Source organism: Homo sapiens, chromosome 8, assembly GCF_000001405.40.
Source record: "Homo sapiens chromosome 8, GRCh38.p14 Primary Assembly".
NCBI lineage: Eukaryota > Metazoa > Chordata > Mammalia > Primates > Hominidae > Homo > Homo sapiens.
The window spans coordinates 74026472-74038686 of NC_000008.11; the positions used below are offsets into that span (position 1 = coordinate 74026472).

The window sequence follows — 12215 nt, forward strand, 5'->3', positions numbered from 1 at the left end:
TGCAATGCACATATGTAACTTGTTCTGAAGCATATTAGCACTAGCTTGTTCATCGTTTATTCATTATTGAGACCAGCAGGTCTTAATAGTTTGTGTCCCCTAAGGGATAAGGTAGGGGCAGGTGTACAGAGAGGCTCTAGGGGCGGAGAAAGGAAGCCACAGGAGAATAGCAGCCAGGGTATAAAAGATTCATTATTTTTCTACAGTTTTGCTTGGGACTGCGTCTGTCAGTAGTTAAGGTATACTCCATGCTACCAAGAAAAAAATATCACCTAACCGTGACCAATAACGTTTTGTATTTTATATTTTGTTTGCAGAGACTGTGAATACAACAATATCATTCTCCTTCAAGGGAATAAAATTTTCTAAGGTATTGTTCAAGATTTATTTTGTACTGTCTAACCTTTAGCAGTAATAGACATGTTAAGCATTTGAAACAAGCAATTCACAACTTCTTCCTTTTTCTTTCTTTTTTTTTTTTAAATGGGATCTCAGTCTGTTACCCAGGCTGGAGTGCAGTGGCACGATCTCTGCTCACTGCAACCTCCACCCGCCAACCCCCACCCCAAGCAATCCTCCTGCCTTAGCCTCCTGACTAGCTGGGACTACATGTCCATGCCACAATGCCAGCTAATGTTTTGTACTTTTGGAAGAGACGCGGTTTCACCATGTTGCCCAGGTTGGTCTTGAATTCCTGAGCTCAAGCGATCCACTCCGCTTAGCCTCCCAAAGTGCTGGGATTACAAGTATGGGCAGTTGTGCCCAGCTGACAATTTCATGAATAGCAGTTCGAGATTAAGATGTTCAGGGTTTTTTCTTTCACTTTTATTTAGAATTAGCTTTTTTTTTTTTTTTTTAACTGAGTCTTGCTCTGTTGCCCAGGCTGGAGTGAAGTGTGTTCTGGACTCACTGCAACTTCCGCCTCCCAGGTTCAGGTGATTCTGTGCCTCAACCACCCGAGTAGCTGGGATTACAGGCACATGCCACTATGCCCAGCTAATTTTTTTATTTTTAGTAGAGATGGGGTTTCACCATGTTGCCCAGGCTGGTCTCAAACTCCTGGCCTCATGTGATCCACCCACCTTTGTTCCTGGACCAAACTGAGGGTCGGGCTGCCATTTCTCGCAGCCCAATAGCAAGATGCAGATGAACTGGGGAGGAAGAGAGCTTTTATTTCTGTAACTGGTTACAGGGAGAAGGTCTGGAAATTATCGCCAGACCAACTCAAAATTACAAAGTTTTCAGAGCTTATATACATTCTAAGGTATATGTCTATGTGTAAGTGTGCATTCATCTGAAGACACAAGTGATTAACTTCTTTTAATCTATAATTAAGGTCTGAGTCCTGAAGACCTTCATCTGGAGCCTCAGGAACTTTACTTAATCTAAATGGGTCTGGGTGCTGGGGTGATTACCTTTATCTTGTCTCCTGCTAAATCATGGAGGTTTGAGGAGTTCCTTCAGACCCCCAGTAAACTTGGTTGTGGAAGCCTGGGGAGTTTCTTCGGACCCACAATAAAACTCGATTGATCCTAAATGGGTCCTATTAAGAATTTCTTAGTTATTTTGTTATGGTTTAAGAAAGCCTTAAAGGAAGGGCCTGGGCAAAACTCCTGATGGGCTTTTGTTACATCCCATCCTTTGCATAAGGGCGCTGGCTTTAAATATTTAACTTAACCACTCAGTACTGAAACAGTTGTTAGTGAGACCTGGCCTTGGCCTCCCAAACTGCTGGGATTATAGGTGTGAGCCACCACACCCAGCCTTAGTATTAGGTCTTTTGGTATTTTTTCTTTCTGTAGACTATGGAAAAATTGCACAAAACATAGCATTTTTTTCCGCTTCATTTTTTTTTCCCTCTAACATACATGGGCAAAAGTAATTTGAATGCAAGTGCTCATTACTAATCTGTTGAACAGTCTTCAGATGAAAGCACTGGATGACCATTGTGTATAAGCCAGTAAATCTCTATAACTATTCATGTAAATATAATGTGAACATTGTTTAGGAGAATAAAAATCACATAAATTACAGACTTTTTTTGTTCAAGATTTTTTTGGGAACTTAGTCTGGTCATCCATGCCTTTGTAAAAATAATTGCTGCCTCAATGAATAATACCATTGTGATTCTAGATATTTGCGTGACATATCTAGTAATGAGATTTTATGCATTTTACTTATGGTGACCATTTTAAAATAAAATTTAATAATGCATATTCTTTCATTATTTTGTTATAAACTAATATCTAATATTTCAAAACCTCTTAGGTTAGTTTTTAAAAATAACATAATCTTATAATTGGGAAATAAATGGGCTTTATGCTCATTTAATTCAAAGACATGGAAAATTTCGTCTCATTGGAAAACTATAAAATCAATCCAATTTAAATGGCTTTCTGCTAGTAAGAGAAAGTTCTTACAAAGCCTCTGAAATAGTAGCATCTAACATTTTGTATTACTTGTATTTCTTATACTTCATTTTAGGGAAAATACAAATGTGTTGTTGAAGCTATTTCTGGGAGCCCAGAAGAAATGCTCTTTTGCTTGGAGTTTGTCATCCTACACCAACCTAATTCAAATTAGAATAAATTGAGTATTTAAAAAAAAATTTAAAGGTATTGTTCCTGTTTTAAGGGTACCCAGGATTTGTTTTAATCAGATATGGTAGGATAGGAAGACACAGAAATGACTGTCATGAAGAAAGAAGCTTATCCTCACAGATCTCTAGGAAACGGAGGCATGGTGCATCATGCAGAGCCACCTGGGGAAGCACCAGTGTCTGTGAGAATGTGGAGGGAGGGGAAGAATGTGGGCAAGAGTGTTTGTTATGTTTTCCACAGGAAGCAATGGGCAAGGTAGGGTAAGTAATTGATATGGTTTGGCTGTGTCCCCATTCAAATCTCATCTTGAATTGTAGTTCCCATAATCCCCACATGTCATGGGGGACCCAGTGGGAGGTAATTGAATCATGGGGATGGTTACCTCCATGCTGTTCTCATGATAGTGAATGAGTTCTCATGAGATCTGATGGTTTTATAAGGAGCTTTCCCCACCCACCCCTTTTGCTCTGCACTTCACCTTCCTGCCACCATACGAAGAAGGACGCGTTTGCTTCCCCTTCTGCCATGATTGTTTCCTGAGGCCTCCCCAGCCCTGCAGAGCCGTGAGTCAGTTAAACCTCTTTCCTTTATTTTATTTATTGTTTTGAGATGGAGTCTCACTCTGTCACCCAGGCTGGAGTGCAGTGGCACCATCTCGGCTCACTGCAACCTCTGCCTTCCAGGTTCAAGTGATTCTCCTGCGTCAGCCTCCCAAGTAGCTGGGATTACAGGCACCTGCCATCACACCTGGCTAATTTTTGTATTTTTAGTGGAGATGGGGTTTCACCATATTGGTCAGGCTGGTCTTGAACTCCTGACCTCAGGTGATCGGACTCCCAAAGTGCTGGGATTACAGGCATGAGCCACTGCGCCCAACCTAAACCTCTTTCCTTTAGAAATTACCCAGTCTTGGGTATTTCTTCATAGTAGCGTGAGAATGGACTAATACAGCAGTGTTGACCTAAAAGGAAGAAGCTGAGACAGAATTAGTGTAAGTAGAGAGTTTATTTGGGCCAAGCTTGAGGACTGCATCCTGGGAGCATGGCAACTTGAGTTGCCCTGAATATATACTCCATAAATTAGCAGCAGTTACAAGAGGGTTTTTAAAGGGAAAGAAGAGGGAGTTTCTGAGTTGTTTACCAAGAATTTACATTAAAAAGGCTGGGTGCAGTGGCTCACACCTGTAATCCCATCAATTTGGGAGGCTGAGGCGGGCAGATCACCTGAGGTCAGGAGTTTGAGACCAGCCTGGCCAACATGGTGAAATCCTGTCTCTTCTAAAAATACAGAAATTAGCTGGGCCTGGTGGCATGCGCCTGTAATCCCAGCTACTTGGAAGGCTGAGGCAGGAGAATCGCTTGAACCCGGGAGGTGAAGGTTGTAGTGAGCCAAGATTGTGCCACTGCACTCCAGCCTGGCGACAGAAGTGTTTTTGGTGAAGTTTATAGAAACAAAAGGATGGGGTCTTTTCTGCTTGGAGACCCCTCTCTCTATATAGAGAAAGCTGTTTCTCTTTCTCTTCTCTTCTGCCTATTAAACCTCCACTCCTAAACTCCTCGTGTGTGTTTGTGTCCTAAGTTTTCCTGGTGAAAGATGACAAACCCTGGGTTTATACTCCAGACAACGTAGCAGCTTCATATTGGAGGTTCATCTGGGATACCAAAGTACAACATTCATTGAAACGGTGAGCAGAGGAGCAGACTCCAACTCTGTCCTTACATTTCAAGGCTGTCAGCCTCCATTTAAGAACCAAATCAAACCAACTACTGGGCCACCTTCAGCCATTTAAAAATGATTAGCATGGCTGCCAGCCTTATAAGACTTGGAGGACAGGCTTTCTGGAGAGAACATGGAGAATCCCCGAGTACCCATGGGTTGTTGGGCATATTGGCCCTGTTTGAACCAGCTTACTTTCAGAGAGGACTTAGCTGTTGCATGGGGCTGGAAGAGGTTTTGGAGCAACTGAGGATTTCTGGCTGGGGCTACCCCCGTGTTATCCAAAGGCTTCTGGACTGACCCCAGCTTCCGACCACCTGATAGGGTGTCAGTAATAGGATTGCCACCTTTCCTATTGTAATTTCCTCCTTTCCTGTCCATGACCACCATATCTCTCATCCTCTCTGTATGAAATCCGGAGTATATGCCGCCTGCTGGTCTTTTCCACTTGGAGACTATTTCTCTTTCTTTTCTCTTCTGCCTATTAAAACTCTGCTCCAAAATAACAAAAAACAAAAAGACACAAGGATGTGTTTTTTGCTAAAGAAAATGTAATTTTGCTGGGTGTGGTGGCTCACGCCTGTAATCCCAGCACTTTGGGAATCCAAAGCGGGCGCATCACAAGGTTAGGAGTTCGAGACCAGCCTGGCCAGTATGGTGAAACCCTGTCTCTACTGAAAATACAAAAATTAGCCGGGTGTGGTGGCGGGCACCTGTAGTCCCAGCTACTCAGGAGGCTGAGGCTGAGGCAAGAGAATTGCTTGAACCCAGGAGGCGGAGGTTGCGGTGAGCCGAGATCGTGCCACTACTGCACTCCAGCCTGGGCGACAGAGTGAGACTCTGTCTCAAAAAAAAAAAAAAAGTAATTTTTTTTTAGTTAAGTGACTATTTAAGAGTTGCTTTAGAGTAAAGGAAAAATTATACAGATAAAACTAAATGGATAAAGAGAAAAACTAAGCCCAGGCAACAAAGTTACCTCTGAGACCTGTGGTTACCAAGAAGACAGTCAATGTGGAGGAAGGGCAAAATGAAGCAACCATTAAAACCAGAGGGTAGCCAGGCATGGTGGCTTCTGCCTGTAATCGCACCACTTTGGGAGGCCGAGGTGGGTGGGTCACCTGAGGTCAGGAGTTCCAGACTAGCCTGGCCAAGACGGTGAAACCCTCATCTCTACTAAAAATACAAAAATTATCTGGTAGTGGTGGCGCACACCTGTAATCCCAGCTACTTTGGATGCTGAGGAGTGAGAATCTCTTGCACCCAGGAGGCAGAGGTTGCAGTGAGCCGAAATTGTGCCACTGCACTCCAGTGTGGGTGGCAGAGCAAGATCCTGTCTCAAAAAACAAAAACAAAACAAAACAAAAAAACAACCAACCAACCAAACATAAAACCCGAAAAGCCACAGGGGATTGTGTAAATGAATTGTTCCATTTTGTAGATTGGTATCATCATCTCCCTGAGAAACCTTTACTACAATTAAGGGAGGAGACCACCCCTCATATTGTCTTATGCCCAATTTCTGCCTCCAAAGGAAGAAGAAGTAAAAACTAAAAGGCAGAAATGAAATCCACAGGCAGACAGCCCGGCGTGCTGCGCCCTGGGCCTGGTAAAGATCAACCCCTGACCGATTCCAGACATTGTATGGAAAAGCATTGTGAAAATCCCTGTCCTGTTCTGTTCTGATTACCTGTGCTTGCAGCCCCCTGTTACGTACCCCCTGCTTGCTCAATCGATCACGACCCTCTTACGCGGACCCCCTTAGAGTTGTAAGCCCTTAAAAGGGACAGGAATTGCTCAGTCGGAGAGCTCGGTTTTTGGAGACGTGAGTCTGCCCGGTGCTTCCAGCTGAATAAAGCCCTTTCCTTCCACAACTTGGTGTCTGAGGGGTTGTTGTCTGCAGCTCATTCTGCTACACAATAAATTGTAAAAATAACTACTTTAAGGATAGAATCCTTAATTTTAAATGCTACAGAATGAAAGAGCTTGATTGGGTTGATGCAGGACCCACAGCTCACTATTAAACAATTGCTGGTGAATGTGTGTGATCCAAATACACAGGAGGTGATTCCTGAGGGAACAACCAGCCTAGTGTTTATCCTGAGAAGGAGATTGCCCAACTCTCCCTATAAAATGCCAAGTGGAACACCCCAGATGAAGCAGTTGATATGCTTCATATGCAAGCCATGTGGGACTGGCTTTATGATGACCCAAATATTCTCCAACAAAAATTTCTATTGCCCACATCATGGTAAATTTTGGGGTTTAGGGGGCCCTTTTTACATGGGCACCCTGGGTGACATTACTCCGGCAGAATCATACGACTATTTGAGCAGCCTTATCAAGTTTGCTGTCTCTTGTGGGTTTTACAGATGCTTAATAAAATATCAGGCATAATTAACAAAAAAAAAGATGGGTAAGGAGAAAGGGATTAAAAGAGCTCACCCCAGAACAGTGATATAATTTTTTGGATGGTTATTAAGAAAAGAAAGAAATAAAATGAAAATTGAGGGAGTTAAAACAAAGGCCTTTAAAACACTATTTGCCCCTAGATTGGAAAATATAAGAAAAATCCAAAGACAATGGTTATAATGAGAATGCTACGTTGCCTGGGGCAATACTGAGGCAAATTAAGATAAAGATTGACAAAAGGGACTGAGTCCTTTGGCCCAACCCCCTGCTGGGGGCCCATATCCTTTTGATATAGGGTCTTGCTCCCTGACGAATGCAAGGAGGAGAATACTTATGAGCAGGGGGCCTCTTTTTCCCCTAGGACTGATTCTAACTTTATAGAAGCTGCTAGATTCTGCAGTGCCTGATAGACAGCTCCCATCTAACCAGAGCTGTTTCACTTGTGAAGTTCGAAGGTGAACAAAGGACATCTTGTTTGGAAGGCTGCTGCTGTGGTTAAAGAGGAGTCAAGCAAATCTTTTTCTTTTGAATTATTTATTGTTTAGAGCAATTAAGTGAAGAATGTTTTTGTGAGCAAGTTTACTTTTCTCTCTGAGCTCTCCAGAATTCAGAAACTGTTCATGGGTATTCTGATTTTATGACAATATAGTTATTTGCATAAGTGTAGTAAGATTCGTTTCTTTCAAAACAGGACAATTGGAGACTTTTTTTTTTTTTAAACCAGGGCTTTGACTAGAATAACATATTTTTAGGCAAATTTCCAGCAAAGCCAACTTAAAAGGAACCTATGTGGCCAATTAATTCTTGCTGCACTTTATGTGAATAATCAGGCCAAGTATAGTAAGCCTAAAACTTATTTTGCACATACATTGGTCTTACTATAATTTCTCTTTAGGCTGGGTGCAGTGGCTCACACCTGTAATCCCAGCACTTTGGGAGGCCAAGGTGGGTGGATCACTTGAGGCCAGAAGTTTGATCAGCCTAGCCAACATGGAGAAACCTCATCTCTACTAGAAAATACAAAAATTAGCCAGGTGTGGTGGTGCATGCCTGTAATCCCAGCTACTCGGGAGGCTGAGGCATGAGAATTGTTTGAGCCTGGGAGATGGAGGTTGCAGTGAGCCAAGAACATGCCACTGCACTCCAGCCTGGGCAATAAAGCGAGACTCTGTGCCTTAAAAAAAAAAAAATTCTTTAATAGAAAAGGAGAACCAGAGAAAGAGGTTGTTTCAAAGAAGTGTAACACTTTTTATTAGATTTCAGCCCCAACTTTTGTTTTTGAGTGCAGATTGAATCATGAATTATATAATTCTCTAAAGAGTGCCAGGTTATCATTTTTCTTCTTATTTTTAGTTGGTGCCTTAATGGAATAGGTTCCTTTTTCTGTTCTGACACATAAATACTCTTTTGATTTTCAAAAATATTGTTATTTATTTTTCCTTGTTTTACCTCCAAGGAAACCAGAATCATGGTATTCTGAAGAGTAGAGATGCGAATCTCCCTCATTTGGCATCACACTGGGTCCAATTTGTTTTTCACTGAAAATGCCCCGCTGCTAAGACTATACAAACACCCTCCTTCTAGGCCCGGGGACTGTCACAGAAGGGGTGAGCATGTGAGATTGTAAGGGCCAGTTTTGAGGGATAGAATTAAGTCAAGGTCAGATCCTCCAAATCAAGGATGGGTACAAAGATGCCTAAACAGCCAGTAAAACAAGGGACTTTGCCTACTGAGCTGTTATGTGACACATTTTCTAATTCCCGTAGAATTAAAGGAAGATAATTACTGACAGGATAAAGATACCTTGTGACAAAGCCTCCTGGGTACAAAACTCCCAGTTATGAGTTGCGAAGATATATATTTAAAAACTTTTTGTTTCAGAACAATGTTTATATTTTGTATAGCTAATTGCTAAAAGTCTGTAACTAAACCCAAGATTACTGTACTCAAGGCATAGAAGTTAAAGATAAGTCAGTTTTGTAACCTTCCCTTTGGCTTTTTGTTTATTGGCTTTTTATGTAAAAACTTTTTTTTTAAGGGATAATGAATGCCTGTCCACGTCCATTCCCATCTGGCCCTTCAATTGGCTATAAGTCTTTTGACTCTAAGTCCCTTGGCTTAGAGTCCCTTTGACTAAGTCCCTTGGCCATACCAAGGGACAGGATGGACCCAGGGCAGGCAGCCACGCCGCCCTGGCAATGTTATGGGGCAAAATAAAGATTTGGTGGCCATCGATGTTGCCTCTGGCAAATCTTGGTCGTAAGAGGGAGAATGTAAACCAAAAATAAAATTCTAAAGCCCCCCTCCAACCATCTGAATGAACTCCCTCCTCTCAGCCAGGGCACTCCAAAGATAACCTGAAAAACTGGTTCAGGCAATGACAGGAAGGGGGGATCAGACATGCCTCAGTATGCCCTCTTCCCTTTTGGAATTCAGGAAATGCCAACCAACATTTAACAGCAACATAGACCTTAAGTCTGATAAAAAACATTTACAATCTATTCTCTTTGAAGCCTGCTACCTGGAGGCTTCATCTGTGTGATAAAAACTTTGGTTTCCACAACCTGTTGTCATAACCCAGACATTCCCTTCTATTGATAATAATTCTTTCAACCAATTGCCAATCAGAAAAAATTAAAATCTACCTATGACCTGGAAGCCCCTCAACCTCTTTGGGTTGTTTTGCCCTTCTAGATCAAATCAGTGTACATCTTACATGTATTGATAGATGTATTATATCTCCCTACAATGTATAAAAGCAAGCTGTATCCTGATTACCTAGGGCACATGTCATCAGGATCTCCTGAGGCTGTGTCATGGGTGCATCTTTAACCTTGGCAAAATAAACTTTCGAAATTGAGACTCGTCTCAGGGATACTTTTGGGTTCACACCTCCAAGCTGTCCTTGTTTATTCCTGGGTGTAAGCCAAGTTAACTTTGGGAGGAATTTAAGTTATAGTTTAACTTTGAAGTAAGGATGATAATAGTCCTTCCCCAAAACAAATCACCTCCCTGGTTCAGGGGCTGAAGCCACCTTTGTAAAATTAATGAAAGTCCACAAGATTAGAATTATGGGAGGTGCCTGAATTCTGCTAAAAGATAGATGTAGTTTCTGTAATCCCTTACTACTCAGGAGTAGTGGGGTCAGAGGTCACAAGATAGGTGTAGTTCTGTAATCCTGTACTGCTAAGGAGTTACATGGCCAGAGATCACAAGGTTTGTGTCTTTCCCAATTGATCCTATAGGTAATATCACTATTATAGAAACTAAGATGGGTTTTTTGAGATATTTTTCACACTGACCCCACCCAGATTCATGACTCATTACTCAACTGGTCCTGTGTCCCCACCCAGAGGTAGACTCAGCTCATGAGAATTATTTTTTACACATCTATACTTTCATCTTCAACCAATCAGCAGCACCCATTCCTTAGCCCCCAGCCCACCAAATTGTCCATAAAAAATCTAGCATCTGTGCCTTTGGGGAGACTGATTTGAGTGGTAACTCCAGTTCTCCTTCATATTAAACTTTCCTTACTGCAGTGCCATGGTCTCAGTGAATTGCAGTAGGCAAGAAGAACCCATCAGGCAATTGATTACACATTAAGCTCTCTGAGTAGCTCTGTGGAGTACCCCTTCACTTAGTTTTGAGGTAGAGCAGGTTTTTACCCAACCCTGTTTCATTCCTTATGGGGAGGGGTTTGGAAACAGGACTCACAGCATAGCTTTCTCTCAAAATATCCTCTGCAAATCCTCTCTCTTAGATTTTCTCTTGGATTAAAAGATTCTTTGATCTTCTTATATGCTTGATGTTAGGACAGGGTTCAGAACTGTGGAATGGGTTATCAGACATGTCCTGTTTCCTGGTCTTGTTCTGATGTACAACACATTTCTACTCTAGGGTGGATCTTGATTTGCTAGGTCAGCCATGTGAAGTATTCCCAGGGTATGGTTATTGGTCTGGTTTGTCACATGACTAGGTTGGCTCAATCAGAAGGGATGGATTCAAATTCCTTGGTTGTCTCACTAGATGTAAACGAGGAATGTTGCCCACATTTCTGTGGACAATCATCTGATGACCATAAAAGGGAATTAGCCTCTGGATGAAGATGATACTGTGAACAGAAGAATGGTGAGTCTAAAAAAATAAGAGCCTGGCGTGGTGGGTCATGCCTGTAAACCCAGCACTTTGGGAGGCTGAGGTGGGAGAATTGCTTGAGCCCAAGAATTCAAGACCAGCCTGAGCAACACTGTGAGACCCTGTCTGTACAAAAAATAAAATAAAAATTAGCCAAGCATCGCAGCACCTGCCTGTAGTCCCAGCTACTCAGGAGGCTGAGGTGAGATGATAGCTTGAGCCCAGAAGTTTGAAGCTTCAGTGAAGCTAAGATTGTGCCACTGCACTCCAGCTGGGGCAACAGAGTGAGACTCTGTTTCAAAAATAAAATTTAAAATAATTTTTAAAAATTAAAAAAATAATAACTCAAATTGCAGATACTGTGGAGTCATTCAATCACCCAAGTCTGGGTCTTGCCATACTTCTGGACTTTCTGGTTATTGCTTTAGTGAGTTGGAGTCAGAATTTTATTACTTGCACCTGAGAGCATTCTAGTTGATTCACAGCTAAATTGTCTGCTTCATCTCATAAGTTAGGCTAATTTCAGATTCTAGCCCTCCTACCATTCCCTTCTGAGTTTTCCCATTGCTTTCAGCCCTTCTCTTGCTAATAGTTGCAGGGTTAACTTATCCGTTAGGTAGAGTAAGCACAGTGCCTAGGGTCCTCAAAAATGTTTTGTTTTAAAAAAAATTTTTAATTTTTAATTCTTATGGGTACATAGTAGGTATATATATTTATGGTTTACATGAGAAAATTTTTTTAAATCAAAATAGACTTCCAAGAATACATAAGGTATTTTGATATAGATATGCAATGTGTAAAATCACATCAGGGTAAATGGGGTATCCATCACCTCAATCATTTATCCTTTTTGTTACAAACAATTGAATTATACTCTTTTTGTCATTTTAAGATATACAATTACATTAATTTTGATTATAGTCACTCTGCTGTGCTACCAAATATTAGGTATTACTCATCTTTTAAACTATTTTTTTTGTACCCATTAACCAACCCCACTCCTCTGTGCCACCCCCCGTTCCCAGCCTCTGGTAACCATCCTTCTACTCTCTATCTCCATGAGTTCAGTTGTTTTAATTTTAGCTCTTATAAATAAGTGAATACATGTGAAGTTTGTCTTTCTGTGCCTGGATTATTTCAATTAGCATAATGACCTCCGGTTCCATTCATGTTGTTGCAAATAATAGGATCTTATTCTTGCTCTTGTTTTTTAATTTTTAATTTAATTTTATTTTTACACAGAGATGGGGTCTTACTATATTGACCAGGCTGGTCTTGAACTCTTGGCCTCAAGGGAGGCCTACCGTCTCGGCTTCCCAAAGTGCTGGGATTATAGGCATGAGCCAGTGCACC

At 41.6% G+C, this 12215-nt stretch overlaps 1 protein-coding gene across 6 annotated transcripts in view; it reads left to right on the forward strand.

Moving 5' to 3' along the window:
• LY96 (lymphocyte antigen 96) overlaps positions 1 to 12215 on the forward strand; it is a 108466-nt gene that overhangs the window by 35080 nt on the left and 61171 nt on the right. For 2 of the 6 annotated variants that reach the window (NM_015364.5, NM_001195797.2), the window contains 2 exons: positions 318 to 370; positions 2485 to 2608. In NM_015364.5, the coding sequence (NP_056179.4) occupies positions 318 to 370; positions 2485 to 2583 (152 nt within the window). In that variant the 3' untranslated portion in view covers positions 2584 to 2608. Of the gene's footprint in view, positions 1 to 317; positions 371 to 495; positions 2215 to 2484; positions 2609 to 5847; positions 6188 to 12215 lie in introns of those variants that run through there. The other 4 variants (XM_017013299.2, XM_017013300.2, XM_011517508.3 and 1 more) reach the window with 3 other exon arrangements.